The sequence below is a fragment of the Homo sapiens genome, chromosome 4, assembly GCF_000001405.40.
Source record: "Homo sapiens chromosome 4, GRCh38.p14 Primary Assembly".
Lineage (NCBI taxonomy): Eukaryota > Metazoa > Chordata > Mammalia > Primates > Hominidae > Homo > Homo sapiens.
Window position 1 is genome coordinate 95139078 of NC_000004.12, and position 19373 is coordinate 95158450.

The 19373-nt window shown below is 38.0% G+C and overlaps 1 protein-coding gene across 12 annotated transcripts in view; it reads left to right on the forward strand.

The window, feature by feature from the left end:
* The window catches only part of BMPR1B (bone morphogenetic protein receptor type 1B), a 400496-nt gene extending 381123 nt beyond the window's left edge, over positions 1 to 19373 (forward strand). For 9 of the 12 annotated variants that reach the window (XM_017008559.2, XM_047416093.1, XM_047416091.1 and 6 more), the window contains 3 exons: positions 9671 to 9846; positions 13566 to 13696; positions 15471 to 19373. In XM_017008559.2, coding sequence (XP_016864048.1) covers positions 9671 to 9846; positions 13566 to 13696; positions 15471 to 15596 — 433 coding nt within the window. In that variant the 3' untranslated portion in view covers positions 15597 to 19373. The remainder of the gene's footprint in view (positions 1 to 9670; positions 9847 to 13565; positions 13697 to 15470) is intronic. The other 3 variants (NM_001203.3, NM_001256792.2, NM_001256793.2) reach the window with 1 other exon arrangement.

Below are 19373 nucleotides of genomic sequence, written 5' to 3' on the forward strand. Positions count from 1 at the left end.
TACAGATGGGGTTTTGGTGTGGATGTCCTTTCTGTTTGTTAGTTTTCCTTCTAACAGTCAGGACCCTCAGCTGCAGGTCTGTTGGAGTTTGCTGGAGGTCCACTCCAGACCCTGTTTGCCTGGGTATCACCAGCGGAGGCTGCAGAACAGCAAATATTGCAGAACGGCAAATGTTGCTGCCTGATCCTTCATCTGGAAGCTTCGTCTCAGAGGGGCACCTGGCTGTATGAGGTGTCAGTCGGCCCCTACTGGGAGGTGCCTCCCAGTTAGGCTACTCAGGAGTCAGGGACCCACTGGAGGAGGCAGTCTGTCCGTTCTCAGATCTCAAACTCCATGCTGGGAGAACCACTACTCTTTTCAAAGCTGTCAGACAGGGATGTTTAAGTCTGCAGAAGTTTCTGCTGCCTTTTGTTCAGCTGTACTCTGCCCCCAGAGGTGGAGTCTACAGAGGCAGGCAGGCGTCCTTGAGCTGCAGTGGGCTCCACCCAGTTTGAGCTTCCTGGCTGCTTTGTTTACCTACTCAAGCTCAGCAGTGGCGGACGCCCCTCCCTCAGCCTCGCTGCCGCCTTGCAGTTCAATCTCAGACTGCTGTGCTAGCAATGAGCGAGGCTCCATGGGCGTGGGACCCTCCGAGCCGGGCGTGGGACCCTCGGAGCCATGCGCGGGATATAATCTCCTGGTGTGCCGTTTGCTAAGACTGTTGGAAAAGTGCAGTATTAGGGTGGGAGTGTTCCAATTTTCCAGGTACCGTGTGTCATGGCTTCCCTTGGCTAGGAAAGGGAATTCCCTGACCCCTTGCGCTTGCCGGGTGAGGCGATATGCCCCACCCTGCTTCGGCTCACACTGTGTGGGCTGCACCCACTGTCCGACAGGCCCCAGTGAGGTGAGCCCAGTACCTAAGTTGGAAATGCAGAAATCACTCATCTTCTGCGTCGCTCATGGTGGGAGCTATAGACTGGAGCTGTTCCTATTCGGCCATCTTGTAACTTCCCCACCTGCTGTTTTTAGTCTCCGTTCTTATGTCTTCTAATGTAACTCTGTGCTTATTACCATGAAATGTCTTGCCTGTTATGTAGTCATCATTGACTACTTATTTGTCATTCCCAATGGAAAGTAAGCCCCTTGAAAGTAGATAACATGCATTTTTCAGATTTGCGTTTCTAGTGCCTTTCCCTGGTGCTCATTACTTAACTTTTAATGGATAAATGATTCCATATGGAACACAGGATGAAGGAAAAAGAACTTTTTTCCTAACACCAGAGATCCTACACATTCTGGACGAAATCCCCCTTTCTAATCTTACATTCTACAAACTCTCCAATTTGTATGCTTTCTTTTGCGAAACTGAGCTGCTTGAATTTTCTCCTTATATATTCCATGCTTGCTGTTGCCTTGCTTTTGATTGCACAGTCCCTAGCTTGGAAAGTCCCTGATTTTCCATGTATCTTAATCCAGTCTCAGAATCACCTCTAAGTCACTTGATTCATCCCCCAGCTGAGAATAATGACAGCATCTTCTGTACTACTCTTTAATTTCCCGGTCTTTGTCTGCTTGGTATTATAATTATTTTGGGACATGCTTCATTTCTCCTACCAGTGATGGTGCATCCTGAGAGCAGGATACATGCCAGCTTAATTAATATATTTCCCATTTAACATGACATAGTGAGTTACCCATTATAGATATTCTAACATTGTTGTGAATCAATAAATGTAGGCAATAGCAAAGTAACTGAGACTCATCTCCTTTATAGACCTTAAAACAAAAAAGGAAAGTGAGTATCTATTATATTATAGAAACTTAGTTCTGCTTAATGGAAGGAGAATGAACTGAATGACCTCTCAAATTTCATACAAACCCTGATTCTAGGAAGTGGAGGGACTATTTTAAGGGATAATTCAGACATTTACTTGGCATATATTAACTACTTCATCAAGAGATGAAGAGATGAAGATGATGGCTCAGATGTTGGCTGTGCAGACTCCTATGGCCATAGCCTAGCTGTGTGAGGCCATCTACCTTTCTGGGCCTCAGCATCATCTTCCATTACATGCAGGTTACATTTGATCATTTCAGAGGTGCTTTTTCCAGTTTTATTTTCTATGTTTCAAAGTTTGCTCTTCTCAGTTTTTGAGCCTAATTTTTAAAACTTGCTTTATGTGTTTCTTTAGTTTCTACTCTTTTTTTTCCACTGTTTTATATTGTATTTGTGCACATATGCATGGATATTTAGACTTTAATTACAAGTGGAGTCACAGCTTACCCTGTGCTGAATTCTCTGACTTCATATGAGAACTTCCTGTGAGACAGTCTCTGTGTAATGGTAAGTGTTCTCTTAGGCTTTTCAGTCATTTCTGAAAGGCTCCCAGGGAAGTCGAGAGCCACAGAGAGGGAGCAGACTGTGCCTGAGAGATTTCCTGCTCATATAAATTTTAAAACGCTGTATTGGTTTCTTCATGCATTCTCTTGACAGTGACGTAAGTGCCGATGCATTTCCTGCTCAGCAGAAATTTAATCCAGGTGATGTGCTGGCGGACATCACCATTACCTTCAATCTCTATTGGGAGGAGAAAACAATGACACATGAAATGCCTTGAAGAAACTTACAAAGCTTTTCACTCTTCACTCTGAAGAATTCAGCAACCACTCTGAGACTTCAGAGTCAGAACAAAATATTTTCATATGGGAAAAATAAATCCTGGCTTAGGGCTCTCTGGTATTAAATTAAAATAAAAAACCTGCAATAAAGACTAGGCTGTCACACTGATGTCCAGTGGATGATTGAGAAATTATCCAAGTACAAAAGAGATAGGGTAGCTTAGTTCGGAGGGTACTGAATTTCTTGAGTCTTGCTGATATGATTCTTTTTAGCACTGCTTTTGGTTTGCATTTTAAAATTGATTTGGCTAAATGACCCACCAAAGTCATAAAACTAAGCTCATTCGTGGCATAGTGAACACTCCCAGTCAAGGTTTCTGCAACCATACCCACCTTATGTTGAAGACTTTTTAGTTCTAAAGTTCTGTTTCTAAGATACCCTGAGATTTCTTGGGATTTTATCATAGCAGCATTGAATGTTGAAAGTAGCTGCAGAAAACTCCCCTTATTGGTGAACATCTGCCAGGCAGAGTTCAATTCTGCAAGTCAGTTCCTCAGCTATCTCCAGGATGCCACAGGAAACCCACAGGGATGTGCACAGCCCCTTCTTCCATAGACTCTTGAGAATTTTTTATGCTTTTGGGGAATCCAAATCATCTTGCTGAGAGAGGATTTAACATCCTGTAGTATATGTAATGGGTAGTTAATTTCAGACATCACTTACAAGCCACAGGCAAACCCATGGCCTCCTTCACATGTCTTCTCATGCCTCCTTTTTTTTCCACACACTCTTTAAAGTACAGTTCTTATTTCATAAGAAGCTTTTTAGATTTTTTAAGGGGTACAATGTTTGCTTCTCTTTTCTTTCTCCTGTCTATTACGTTTTTTTACCTTCCTACTTCCTCTCTTTCCCTTTCCTCTCTTTCTTTTAGGCATCAACAGCATCCAGCAGGAGGACCATCCGCATGTGCCCAAAGGCTCAATGAGGTAGAGCCACCTTGTTGGAGCTAGCAACTCTTTCCCTGCGCTCGCCTCTCATTGCCACAGCGGGCTGTGCTTAGGACTTTCATGAGACTCTTACTTCAGTTTATGGTACAGTGGGGAAAGTGCCCTGTGCTCAGTCAAGTAGTTGGGGCTCTTTTTTTTTTTTTTTAACATAACACTTTTAGCCAGAATTTCTGGGTTTAGGTTTATAACTAAAAGGCTTAATTAACATGAAAAACATTTAATATATTATGAGGCTGAAGAGATACTATATTTTTAAAAAACTCCCCCTTACTCCTTGCCACCGAAACAAAAATCTTTTGCCTGCCCTCATTTAATGCATGATAGTCAAGAGCTTAAGGCATGCACTGTTCCCTGAGTCCACTGGGGTGCTCATGTTTCATTCTCCAACCTGCTCAGGATCCCAGCTGAAGGCTCCACTTTCAGCCTTTCTGCACACACAAGCAGCCCCATGACTTCCCTCCCACAGTTACACTAACACCTGCAGTGCACACACGCCATACCAGGCAGCAGTGCTGTGCTAAGGGGCACGCCAGGGGTGGTACACCAGGCACAGGCAGGAAGGGAGTACACTGTCGATAATAAAACTGATTAAAATCCTACTTTTATTGTCACCATGTGCTGCAATTCTAAACAATGTCAGTGGCTAAAATATGTCTCCTGGCAGAGTGAGTGGCTCCCATCACCCCCTCCTTGGTATGTCCTTCCCTGGCACCTTCAGAGGAGAAGAGGAAAATCATAGTTTCGTGTGTCTTTTAATTTTCTTGTCTCTCTCTCTCTCAAAGTCTTTCCCTTTGCTCCCCTTCCCTACCCTCAAAACCATAACCTACAGAACTGTCACTTTGTTAGTGTCTTCCCTGGGGTAGAAGAGCCACTTGGAGTGTCCATAGACTTATGAAGCCCTTTGATTATCAATGTAGACCTCATACTCCACCATGCTGGCATTTTCTATATCATACCACTGTCATTCAAGTGACTTTGGTCAGAAATATGAACTTGGTTTTCTGGCCTCTTTAAATAATCCTAGCTGAGAGCAGCCCTGCATTTTGAGATCCAGATGAATGCAGACATTAACCTCATTCGTACCTGGTACAGTAGGGAACTCAGCATTATTCACTGCTTGTCTGGGAATTCAAAGGAGTTGTGTTCCCCTTTGCATTATCAGCCGATAGCTCCCATATATGTTGTGCCTTTTCCACATTATATAGTTGCTGGTTCCTGGCTTCCAAAATACGAACAGCTCAGGTTTGAAGATGTTTTTACTGGAGATTGTGATGGAAGATAGTACATAAAATTTAGTCCACCTGGACATTTCTCCCAATTTTTTTTTTTTTTTACCCCTACAGGGCTTAGTATCTTATGACCCTAGGCTAGAAGAACAGAACCCTTTTTCTCCCTCACTGAGTTCCCCTTTACCCCCAGGCTCTCATTAATTTCTTACTCAGAAAATTGTAGACATTTTCATTTTATCCTGTTCTATCTCCACTGTCCCTAAATGTTTATTGATTTTTTGAGATGAGGTCTCCCTCTGTTGCCCAGGCTAGAGTGCAGTGGTGTGATCTTGGCTCACTGCAACCTCTGCCTCCTGGGCTCAAGTGATCCTCCTGCTTCAGCCTCGCAAGTAGCTGGGGCTACAGGCATGTGCCACCACACCCAGCAAATTTTTGTATTTTTAGTAGAGACGGGGTTTTACCATGTTGCCCAGGCTGGTCTTGAACTCCTGGACTCAAGCAAGCAATCCACCTGCCTTGGCCTCCCAAAATGCTGAGATTACAGGCATGAACCACCACACCAGGCCTTTTTTTTTTTTAAAAAAAATACTCATTGAAGCATGATTTGAAAACTAAGAAAGCTTTTTTCCTGGAGAGGAATTTATCTGACATCTCTTTATTTTATTTTCCTCAAATTGTATTTCCTTCTAATTCTACTTAAGTCTGAATCTCTTTAGTACTCACATTAACAGGGACAAAAGCCATGTTGGATCTAGTGGCAGCATTGATTATTGAAGTATAAAAGGGCAAAATTGTCTACTCTTATAATTCTCTGAACCCTACTCTTAATAATGACCTCTTTGTGCACACATTTCCAACCATTCTCCATGGGAAAGAAGAAGAGAGAGAACATTTCTTCTGTAGTGAATGCAACACTTTTGTTTTTAATGGGATATTTTCAGTTCTCCTTCGTAGCAGCTCATTTTCTCTGTAATTTTATCCAGTTTATTTATATCACTTTTGTTCTTCCCGTCCTTATGCCTATAACCTGTCCTGTAATCCTTGAAATGTACATTTTCTAGTTCTGGATCCTGCTGGGTTCTTTTAACTTATACTATACTTAGAAATATATATACTTATATTTGTGATATAAACATACACAAAAGTATAAAAATGAGACACCCATGTAATATGAACAGATGTTAGCAGTTTACCTTGTTTTTCTCTGGTTTTTCTTTTTAAAAGAAATAAAATGTTGAAGATAGCCCTGTTGCAGTCCCATTCCTTTTTCATTTCCTGCTATCCTTCCCAGAAGTAACGAGTATCCTATTTATGTCTCCTCTGTATGATTTTATAATCTGACTTCATATGTATGTAGCTACTGCAGTACATAGGATTATTGCGTGGGGTTGGAATTATTGTCTCTGAGTCTACAGCCCTTGTGCAGTATCTATCTTTTCTTGTCAACCTTGTTTCTCCCCTCCATAGCCCTCTGTGGACAAGGAGGCTAGAGGAAGCTAGTGCAGAAGGCACCCTGCCCTTTTCTGCCTCCTTCTTTCTCCTGGAACTTTCCGTCTGTTGTACTGTCTGTTCTCACGTGTACCACACCATCTGACTCTACTTCCATTCCCTTTTTCTTCCTTTATTCTTGGCACCCCAGTGTTAAATCACATTTATGTCTATTTTTGGCTTTAGGATTAACACAAGCTTGATTTTTCTCTGCCATTATTTGGGAACAGGTAAAATGATGCTACTGAAAATCTGAGAAAGAAATGTAGTCTAATGACTTTCAATTATAGAAACATGCCTGAGGGAAGAAGGGGCAGAGCTAAATGTTTTGGAGGATCTGACACTTTACAGTATCAGATATGGATTACCTATAATTCTCATGTTTGTTGTTTAAGTGTAGTGCTAAAGGCACTTGCCAATAGGTTGATAGTGATCTTTCACAAAATTAGTTTGCTCAACAAAATTCTATTTATCCTTCTAGAAATTGGTAAGATCTCATTTTATGGCCCATGCAGTCCAGAGATTTTTACATTTCCCTTTAAATTATCCATAGCAAAGTTTAGTGTAAACAAACCTTTTCCTTCTTTCATTTAAAGTACATTATTTTCCTGTCATGTGCAAGACACACTGCGAATGGAGAAGGATTGGGGCTATGCTCTTTGGGGATATACCAAATGACTATGACAAGTATTTGGGGGCTCAGAGGAGTTGATAGTCTTCAGTTGGAAAACAGATTACTTACTCAAATGTTACTAGGGAGAAGATTTATTCAGCTACTACTAGGGCAAACGTCTAGGGTGGGAGAGGAAGGGGAGGAGAGAGATGGCTTATTGCTGAACATGCATATGTATTTAAGGGACTATGTAAAGGACTGATTTTTGGCATTTGGTGGACATTCAGAATCCTTGAGTGTATGTTTTTGCAGTGTTTGAGAAAAAGAATTTAGAGATGAACTATGTATACTCCAGCTGTCACAAATTTTAATTCTATTATTAGGTCACAATTACCTTTCATTTTTCTAATAGATATCTCTACATCACACATTCCATTATCTTTTCCTGACCTCCCAAATCCAAATAAACATTAAGGAGCTAAGAGTAAGAATGGAATGAAATTGCCTAAAATCTTTATCAACTGTGGTCAGATTACACCTTTGGCCTTTCTAAATGCCCTTCTGTGTGGATTGTCTTAAGATTCTTCTTGTTCTGGAATACAGTGGAGGTCTTTAACCATCTTCTTTTCATCTGCAAACCCTCATGTTTGTTTTCTCTGCATGGGACCCAGGACTTCTTACCTGGGGTCACCACTATCTTCCTCATGATTAAAAATTAAAATTAGGACATGCTGGCACCACATTAGTGAAATCCCTACTCTGCTCCCATGAGAGGTGTCAGCAGGTGGAGTAGGAGGAGAGCGTGCTTTATAAATGGAAATGGAGCTTTTGTAGCATCTATTCAATCTGACATGTTTCCAGTTTACCATTAAGTCTCTTCTCAGCATACTTTCCTCCCCTGTCATTTATCATTTACACATACAAATGACAATTTTCTATTATACCAATAAGTGCTGAGAATTAACATTTTAGCCTCTTTTTCCAGTTTTAGAAAAGATCCCAGAACACTGGGACCTATGTTTGCATATGGTAAAGAATACCATCTGTTTTGTTTTTTAATTACACTTTAACTTTTTTTTTAACGTCTTAACTTTTATTTAAGAAAACAGGCTAGTTATTATTGCACCTAGAAAACCACGAGGGGCCTAATGAGTACACTGATGACATATCTGTTGATATGTCATCTTATCTAAAACATAAAATTTTAGATTAAGAATTCTAGCCGGAAGTGACTTTAAAATGTTCTAAAATGAAGTTTTGCATTTTATGTTTTAGTAAATGTAAAAATTTTGAGATATTCAGAATGACACTTAAAATGTTCTCAAATGACAAAAAATGACACCATGTATTTCATGTTGTAGAAGTGGTCAAGGCAATGAGATCAAACCCAGAGGTTTTTGATTTTTGTTTTTTTCCTGAAGCCACTAGTGTTTTGGTATTGACTATCTATGACAGCAGGATAAGTGTGATATTCGATAAATGAATCTGTTTTCCAGGCTGAGGAGAAATAACATGTAAATTCTTGAAAGTCAATAGAGTGTAATGAAAAGCAAAAGCAAAAAAAAAAATTGTTGGGAATCAGGAGGTAGAAAGGTTTATTCAAGATTTTCCACAGAGTTCAGCTTAATAATGAGTTTCTGTACCTTTTTGGTTTTATAGTATACCTTATTTGGTTATAGTCTGTTCATCTGTCATATCTAGGGTTTGTTACTTTTCTACCTAGTTCCTTTACTTTCTGATGAGTTACAGTACTTAAGTATCTAATATGTGCCTAGTACCATGTTGGCAGGGCTTGTACATGTCATCTCATTTAATCATCAGCCTAGTCATTCAGCACCCTTAGAACAGGGGCTGGAACTGTGGCTCCAGCTCATCGCACTGAAGCAATGGTTCCCAAGTGCCAGTGTGCAGGTTGTTGTCCCTCCGTCATTACTCTTTTCCCAGTCTATGGGAAGGAATAGTAAATGGGCCTGTTGTAAAATTTTCAGAAAGTTAAAGATGTTATATTCCATTATTGTTTTCTTCCTTTGAAAAAAAAAGTTAAATGCTATTTGGTTCATAAAACAATAGTGATAGCAGAAAGCTTTTTTATATGTCCCACCTTGTCAGAGTAAAACAATTGCATGTCTTTGTTGGTTCTCTCCTTCTCCCCTTTTGAAACCTGTTTATAGATCTAAGAGCTTTACAACAGCTGGCTTAAAAAATACTGTTTCACATGAAATTGTCATGTGTGCATGCCCATTTTAAGAGTAAAGTTTTTAAAATAGGAGGGGAAGGAAGAGGGTTTTTTTAGATATTTAATATATATTTAGCAGTTGTTTAGGGTATAAATTTGATCTATTGGTAATGCAATTTTAAATGCTGCAGCTTCATTCTGACTGAGTTTTATCTTCATTGTTTTTTTTTTCTAACTTTTTTTAAGAGATGGCATCTCACTATGTTGCCCAGTCAGGCCTTGAACCTCTAGGCTCAAGCTATCCTTCCACCTCAGCCTCCAGAATAGCTGGGCCTACAGGCATGCACCACAGTATCAGCTTGCCTTTCATTGGCTTTTAACCTGTAAATATTTAATATAGCTTTTGGCAAGAAATATTCTTTAAGAAATTGTTTTTATTCCCTGGAAAGTTTTTCTTTTCCACTTTTCACTAACTAAAGCCATTGTTTCAGAATCACCTTGATTCGTTTTTGTTGGTCCTCTTCAATGCTGTAATGCTTTGCTTTACTTTTTCCTTAGTGATACAAATGAAGTTGACATACCACCTAACACTCGAGTTGGCACCAAACGCTATATGCCTCCAGAAGTGTTGGACGAGAGCTTGAACAGAAATCACTTCCAGTCTTACATCATGGCTGACATGTATAGTTTTGGCCTCATCCTTTGGGAGGTTGCTAGGAGATGTGTATCAGGAGGTAAGAAACAGTGCTGTCTTTGAAAAGCTACTATTGGAGCTACTATAAATCCTTTCTTTCTGATCAGAAATCAAAGTTATCATACTGTCTATAAGATCTGGTTTTATTTTCCCCTTTATTTCTGTTGATGCAGTCATAGTGCTTCCAGGAAATTATATTCGACATCCTAGAATAATCTTTGACTGCTTCCTTCCTCCAGCTGCCACTAGACACACTGTCAGCCTACCCTGCTTTTTCAAGCATCACTGTTTTCTGCTCTGTGTATTGTCTTATTTCTGTCTTGGGTTCTTCCTCCAGCAGTTGCTCGATGAAATCAAACCCCCTTTTCTGTCCCTGCCAGTTTATTCTCACCTAGCTGCTGGGCCCCATCCCCAACTCCATTCCCTGGGATTTCCTCTGCAGAGATGACAGTAGGCCATAAATGTGGGGTCGGACACCCATTTCTTACCTGCTGTATTTTTTATAAAACTTCCCCATAAAGCAATTTGAAAACATCAGTTTTTTATCAAAAGGAAATTAAAGTATCAGAGTATTATTTTTTTATATTGTTTTTTCTACACATATGAGGATTCCCTAGTAAAAACAATTATAATGAACAAGAAGACATATTTAAATATTCAGAAGTATTATTACTTGTACTATTTTGATTGCTCTACAGTCTGTCTTCGAGTAAATTCTGACACCTTTTAGGCAAGGAGCTGAATCTTTGGCTTTTCTGTATCAACTCTTCTGTATGTTATTCCATGGTTGTGCTCATTAAAAAACCTTGATGCTGCTGCTGTTCCTCATAATGGCCAATTTAAGTCTATCTTCATGAAAACATGAGCTTGCTGAAGATTCTGAAAGTGCAGCATGCACTTAACTAGTACTGAGATGTGTTCTTGTTCCTGCTATTTATCTGTGATGCCTTGGACAGGTTATAAACTTTTCTTTGTTTCAGAGTCCTCTTAAAGATGAATTGAATTATTGTATCTGCTTCTGTGGTTGTATGGTTTCAATGTAAAGATAATGAGAACTGCCTGGCACATAAATAGCACTCAATACATGTTAGCTATTATTACTATTAATACTTTTCATTTTGGTTGGTAGAGCCATAACATCTTTAGGTTCATATTTAAATACAAAGAAGAAACAGTTAATCAACCTGCATTCACACTTCAATAGAAAGATCATTATCAGTGGCACAGTGCCTTCTAATAATCACTTTGGGAATTCTGAACCTGTTTTAAGAAATTTGAAATAGAACACATACTCTCTGAAGTGAGGGAACTATTTTGTGCAAAAGGAAAGTTAATGCAGGAAATTTTCTCTAACCAGATATTGAATAAATTTCTCATTCTAAGTGTAAAGAAGAAGTAACCAAAAAATTTAACAAATTGTCTATGCCTTGATTTCACGCATTATAAAGAGTAGATAAGCCTCACGTTTGCATTCCCAGCATTTTGGGAGTCCAAGCGGGGAGGATCAGTTGAAGCCAGGAGTTGAGGACTAGTCTGGGCAATAGATTGGGACCCAGTCTGTATTTAAAAAGAAAAAAAAAAAAAAAACAAGTAGACGAGCCTTTTAAAAAATAATATGCTTATACTTAATTAAGATAGCTTTATGGAAGTTGAAGGTGTAGAGAACAAGGTTATTTTTCTAATTATGTTTTCTTGAACATCTAAAACAAACAGGGCTACAGGAAGCCTATATTTGAAAGCCTGTGGGCCAAATACAGGAGAAATTATTCTCAGCTTAAAAACAAAGTAGCTTTATATAAACAGCAGGGTATTAATTGCTGTGCTAGGGTATTAATTTGCTTTGCTAGGGCTGTCTTTGGATGTGGAGATTTGCTATAATGTTGCCTTATTGTTAGAGGTGTTGGAGTCCCTGCTCTGTCCCATACCAACTGAATGGACTTGGGCAAGTTACTTAACCCCTGAGAGCCAAGTTTCCTCATCTGAGTAGTGTGGAGAATAATGTCATCTCAGAAACGCATTTGTGAGAATTTAATAAGATAATTTATATAGCATACCTGTTTCCACAACTGGGATAGAGGAAGCTCTCAATAAGCGATTTTATTTTTCCAGAGAGGCAAAGCACACAAAATTCTATTTTCTAACACTTTATGAAGATATTAGAAGTTTTTTGGGCTTATCTTTCTAGTCCAGGCCCTTCTGGGTGAAAGAGACACATCCAGATGTAGGCCTTTCCATCTTTTAAAGGAGAAGAAAGACAGAAAGGTTTGAGGTTTCAAACAGAGTTAAATGGCAGCTAACAGGAAATTTTGAAAACTTGATTACATGACATGGAGAAAAGAATAAGGCCTATTATTCAACAGTTAGATTTGAGTAATTCATAATTTTAAGTGGTGAGCTCTGCCTTCGTCTGTTGTAGTAGATACACCTACCCCACCCCATCCATCAGTCCATCCACCAGCGGAAAATAGGAGATGGGTTAAAGAGATGTGGGCTTTGCCTTCAGGCTGTTTCCAGGGCCATGGTCCTGAGAATGAGAAAGGGAGAAAGAACTGAAATGAAGCAGAGCACATCCTGCGTGTTAGGCCCTGTGCTTTTCTTATCTCATATGGAGGTAAAACACAGTGAAAGGAAATATTAACATAGATAATACATATAATTAGCTCTGTGGTCACAGCAGGGCACAGGACAAATGGTGAGTTGGAATGGTCTGAAAAAACTTCTGAACCTTCTGGTCCTTGATGATTTTATAACAGATTTGAGTTTACAAGAAAGAACATAACACAGACCCCAGATTTTGGCAGAGTAAGCCCCCAGTGAATTTAACGATGTGATATATAATCTGCCAACTTGACGGCATCATCTTTTTCAGATGAAAAGCAATGATATTTCTATAAAAGATGATTTAGGATAGGGAGGAGGGGTGCTCCCAAAAGATTGTTCAGAGCAGCAGCCTCTAATGTAATTATTATAAGGAGTTAATCTTAAGAAGGTGAAAAAGAAGATACTAGAAGCCTGCATTTTTAAAGGAGAAGAGGAAGAAGGTAGAAATTAAATACTAGGAACAATAAAATGAAAGTTTAGTGTGCATTTTTATGAAGATGCTATAGATTTATATTTCTTTTCTTTTAACAATACATATTTTTTCTAATAGTAATGTATTCCTTACTGAAAATTTGGATAAATATAGGAAAAAAATCAGATAATCCTTGAACCTAAAAAATTCATGGTTAATATTTTTGGGTGTCTGTAATTTTCTAAATTTTTAATGTGCAAAACCACATTCCTACAATTAAGCAGAAAAAATGTAAATCTGACATTTTGTTCAAGTAGGATACACTTCTGAATTTATTATGATATTCATAGTTTCATACTATAGTAATAGAAACAGTCACATGTAGTATGAGTTCAGGATATGTCTTGCAGATTTGCATTGAGATTTAATATAGATTTGTCTTTTAATTTGTTCTTCATAAAAATGGAAATAAATTTAAGATGCTTGTTTTACTTAGCTTTTGGAAATTAGGAAAGAAAGGCTTGAAGACCTATGACAATATTTTTCATTGGGCTTTGTATTCATTTTTTCTAAATTAGATTAAGTACCATTTGGGTAAATATTTTTCAAGATTTATTTTGCTATTTTTCTGCCTGAACTTGTCTGTAATACTGATAGCACTTTTCCTTTGAGAACTGTGTTAGACTTTTATTTCTACTTCACAGAAAATAATAATAATAATAATAATAGTAACAACATATTTTTAGGTATAGTGGAAGAATACCAGCTTCCTTATCATGACCTAGTGCCCAGTGACCCCTCTTATGAGGACATGAGGGAGATTGTGTGCATCAAGAAGTTACGCCCCTCATTCCCAAACCGGTGGAGCAGTGATGAGGTAAGGCTTGAGGTAACCATGTGGCTGTGACAGACTTCTAAATAGACTTTTCTTTTTTAGCTAAAATTCCACATATTGATTGTAGGAATTCTTCTTTTTTTGATGGTGATGGTGATGGCGCCTCATTGCAGTAATTTATATGAAGATAAGTGTAGTATGTTAAATTACTTGTTCTACTTTTCCAATTTTATTTTGCCACTTCCAGAATATATTGAGTGAGTTGGTCAGTGTTTAGCCTGCATAACAAATAACATTATTTTCTTTATTTATAATGTCTTGACATTTGCATAAAACCTATTATTTCTCTGTGTGTGTTTTTAAAGCATCATAATTTTTCTCTGTGACAAACCCATGTACAGCATTCTCCCATTTTGATTAGAGAAAAAAAGTAGGCATGTTAAAGTGATACAGGTTGACCTAGTTAAGATGCCTGACTGTGCTGGGTGTCTTTGTTAATAAGGATGACGAGATGTGATTTGAACAAATCCACCTTCAGCTTGGCTCTAAGGCTGTAGTGGTGAAACCTACATAGGTCTGGAAAGCAGCGGCTAGTAAGGAAGAAATGAGTCTTGCCTTTCCTGACTCCTCCTCCTGTTCCACATTCCTCTCCTTCCACCCTCGCAGCCTTCAAACTCACCATGTTCTAGAGTTCTCTGGCAGACTGGAATGTTCAAGATGAGTTTGAAGCACCACTGGAAAAAAAAACAGGCTCTTATCAAACGTACCAAAGCACTGCAAAGGGGGGACAGAGCACTATTTCTGAAGTGTAAAAGCCATTTAAATATAATCTCTGGGCCGGGCACTGTGGCTCACATCTGTAATCCCGGCACTTTGGCAGGCCGAGGCGGGTGGATCACTTGAGTCCAGAAGTTCGAGACCAGCCTGGCCAATATAGTGAAAACCCATCTCTATTAAAAAATACAAACAATAGCCTAGTGTGTTGGTGCACACCTGTATTCCCACCTACTCGGGAGATTGATGCACGAGAATTGCTTGAACCCGGAAGGCGGAGGTTGCAATGAGCCAGGATCATGACACTGCACTCGACAGACCGAGACCCTGTCTTAAAACAAATAAACAAACAACAACAAAAACAAAAACACCTTTGGCTCATTGGTTTTGTGTCTGGTTACTAAAATGCTAAATAATATATACGTTTTCCAGCAAGCTGTGCAGAAAGCTTTATGAGATGCTGGAGCTCTGTTATTGTGGGCTTTTGGTGTTACTTGATATCTCTTCACTGAGGATTTCTTATGAAGTGAAATTGTACTTTTCAATAGGAAGACCAATAATTGATGTACCACAGGAGAAAGTTTTAGTGATGCTGTGCACAGGTCATTAATCTTGTTAAATGGTGCAGTGTGATGCTATTACTGCAGCAGACAGCTATGATTTAGGAATAACTGTGTTTGTTTGCATAGTATGGAATTAGATAAAAGATTAAAACTTATCAAGTGTTATAAACAATCTGGGAGTATTGAGTGGAATACAGACTCCCTGGGTATTTTTATGTTTGCTTAACACTAATTTCAAAGACACCTTTCTACAATCAGCAGAACCACCTGCTTGTTTCTATCACAAAGAAGACATGAACATCTGTTTTAGTCATATATAATTTTGCATGAAAAAAGCTTACAGAATTTTACTTCTACATGGTTTTAAGGGTACCTTTTAAAAATATATTCAAACTTAATGAACCTAAAACTAAAAAGCTACATTGTAACAGGTGCCAGCCTTGCAGATGATACATTTTTCTAACATTTCTCTTCCTCAGTGTCTAAGGCAGATGGGAAAACTCATGACAGAATGCTGGGCTCACAATCCTGCATCAAGGCTGACAGCCCTGCGGGTTAAGAAAACACTTGCCAAAATGTCAGAGTCCCAGGACATTAAACTCTGATAGGAGAGGAAAAGTAAGCATCTCTGCAGAAAGCCAACAGGTACTCTTCTGTTTGTGGGCAGAGCAAAAGACATCAAATAAGCATCCACAGTACAAGCCTTGAACATCGTCCTGCTTCCCAGTGGGTTCAGACCTCACCTCTCAGGGAGCGACCTGGGCAAAGACAGAGAAGCTCCCAGAAGGAGAGATTGATCCATGTCTGTTTGTAGGACGGAGAAACCGCTTGGGTAACTTGTTCAAGATATGATGCATGTTGCTTTCTAAGAAAGCCCTGTATTTTGTGATTGCCTTTTTTTTTTTTTAAGATGCTTTCATTTTGCCAAAATAAAACAGATAATGTGGATGGTTTAAGGGTTATAGTATTATAGTTTAAATAATAACAACAAAATTCTTCCCAGGAACTCTGCTGGAAGGTAAATTAAAATACTTGTTTTTCCATTGGTAAAATATTGTTGCACTCTGTGAACCAAAAGACAGTCTAAGTTGGAGGACATAGAACGGAACTCATCTTAAACATACTCCCCACCCCGTCTTGGCCTCCTCAGACCACTTTGGCCATCCCTGCATTTGGGGCCGCTATGGTAATGTGAATGCACTGGGTACAAACACCGCCTGTCTAGGACCACATTTGGAATTCCTGCAGGTGGCCTTTTGCAGCTTCAGGCAATATGGAACAAATGAAGGTTTATGTGACTCTAATAGAAGTAATTGTTGATAGGTGTTCTTCAGATCCACTTCTGTTTCTGATTGAGTTAGGCATCTCTTTCATGGTAAAACCCTTTTCATTAAACACAAAGAAAGCTTTTTTTTTTTTTTTTTTTTTTTTTTTTTTTTAATGTGCAGAGGATTGACCTGTGCATGCTTTTGATCTCTCATTCAAAGGATCAATATTAAATAAAATTGTCATGAGCTGTGTTGAAGACAGGGTGCTTTCAAATAGAGGTAATTTGCTCTTGTGTTGTAAGAGGAACATGTCAACAAAGATAGGAAATGAGGGTGATCGTGCAGATGGCTTGTATCTTATATATGCAAAGGAGCCAATCTCAGAAGCACAAAGAAAAAAGTGTGCATACCTTATTTTGTACAGATAAAGATGATGTCTTTTTGTTATTGTCTGTCTGTTTTGTATGTGTCTGAGATAAGGGATAGAGAGGAAACATCCGTCAGGCTAATTTAACTACATTTTATTTTAAAAATAGAGAAACATAACCTCTAGATGGGACAGCAGAGGACAGTTAGTAGAGGCCACAAACTGTTATGGGCTGCTGTGTTTTGTTCTAAAATCAATATGGTTGGAGCATGTATATCTTAGGTGATCATTTCACATCTTAGGAATGCCTACTCATTTTATTTTATTCTAGTGATGCTCAATTCACTATTTAATTTATTATATTTTCTCTTCTGTGGCACTTATACAAAATATCTCTTCACCTACTTAGTTCTACAGGGTTTTAACTTTGGAGCAACATGAATAAAATCATCGAGAAGGCCAATATTGTTTAGCAACATGAATACAATACAGTTTAAAGTTGTACACATCCTGCTCAACTTTATTCATATACATTTCCTTTCTGTGGTTTTCTTTTGCTTCTTAGAAATTCTGTTAGTGGTTAGTAAAGAATTTGAAAGTACTTTCTCCTTGCTGTTTTTTTTTTTTTTTAAGACATTCCTCCCAGAATACTCCAGGGGGCAGTGTTTTATAACACATTTTCCCCACTGGGTGATTGAAGGATGGAGGATTTTTGAAAATTTGACAGCTACATGAAACATGAGAAAACATTTTCCTCACTTCTGAAGTCGGTTTGCAGCTGGTAACTTGTTCATCCAGAAAACATTCTAAAGCAATGAGACTTTGTGAGCTGTGCTTACAGTTTGGGAGAATCATGAAGATTCTTTCTATATTTTGCATTTACTTCCCAGTGCTTCATAGCTGCATTTTGTTTGTAACTAAGACAGAAGAATTTCGTAATCCTTGAAATTGAAAAAAAAAAAATTGTGTTTTTAAAGAGTGAAAACAGTTAGAAAACAAGTAGAACTGTAATCAGAACGCTGCTTCAATTGATATTAAAAATAACCTCAATAATAATGTAAAGGTTCCTTTCTCTTGTGTCAGTTATATTCTTAGGGATAGCCTAGAAGGAATATATGGTTAGAACTAAGTGTGACTAATCATCTGAGCCTTGAAGAGAAACTTCAGTGCCTCTAAACAGATCATCTACAAAACAACAGGTAAACATTTATGCCAGTTAAGTGGGTCATGTTTTTGTTTCTTGGGTTTTTCCTAAATTTAAGTGAGGTTGGGCTTACCTTGTAGATAAAATTATGTTTTCTTTTTGGTAAATACTTGAACGTGGATAACGTCAAATCAGAATATTTTGTGAGGAGGTGATGATTTGAAATTAAGCTAGATTTCTAGGGAGGTGTTGGTTCCAATGAAGGATGGGAAGAAATTAAAATAGTCTTCAAACTTCTTCCTTATTATATTTGGTTGCTTTGGAAAAGATTGGTCCTATCCTCAATCTAATTTATTCACTATTAATATTTTAAAAACATTCCTGAGATACTTAAAAAGACCCACTTAGCGATTATAGTTGCTCAATGAAACAAGAATTTATTTATGCATAGATTTTTCTCTGTATCTTACCAAAATCCACTTTACTTAGATAACACTAAATTGTTCTTAAAGACTACTCATTTCCCAATAATCCTTTATGATTTCAAAATTTCTAGTGGCTCAGAAGTGAATTTTATTTTATTTGTCTTTCACTTGAATAAATGAGAACCCAGAAATTAATAATGTTGTTTATTGCTTACTGTCAGGACTATTTCAAAGACTAAGAAGAGTTTCTTCTAACCCCTCCCTCTCAAAGGAATCCTAAATTATTAGTTGTTAGATAAGTTTTGTATGCTAAGATATTCAGGTTTATAGTTTATGTATGTGTGTATATATATAAATATATATGTATATATAAATATTATGTTCAGTTTGGAGTCTGGCACAACTCCATTATGTGGATTAGAGAGTAAGATATTATGGATGATAAAGTACTAAATGAAACATAATATTTATTTATAAAAGTGTGTAGATTGTTAAATCACAAAAAGAGTGCTATGACCATTATGTATGAGGAAACAGGCCTTTGACCTCCTGGAAAGCACTGCTCAAAAGTCATTAGTGCCCATTTTTGAATTCCCCAAACAGAAAGCTTCTTAGAAAACATGCTGAGATTTTATTTACAGGGAATTCTTTGACACATTTCAATTGGTGTGTAGTCAAGTATAGCAAGTACTTAATAATGACTGAATTTCATGTTCCTACAGTCATACATATTCATTAGAAGTTTTATGTTGTTGGTCTGATCTGATTCTTCTTTGTTTGTGGGTGGAACGGCACTGAGAGAAGTATAGTTTTTTAAACTTGAACATGTTCAGTAGTTACATTGCCTTAGAAAACCCAGACACATAGCAGTGGAAATGAAAGAAATGGCATCAGAAGTGACTTAATTTAGCAATTGTGATTCCTCTTGTAAAACAAAACAAAAAAACAATGCCATATTTTTTGGAGAAAAGTTGGCAATATAGGGGTTTCGTTGTCTGTTTCACAAGAAGACTCATTTGTTCTTTTGGGGGAACCAGTGCCTTACAGATTTTGTATATACTGTAATTATTCAGGACTAGGGAACAAACAATTGTATTGTATTTGTTACAGATTGTATATGGCTTTGTTTTAACATTCCCCTAAATAAAATGGCTTCATTCTCCCCTTGGAAAAAAACA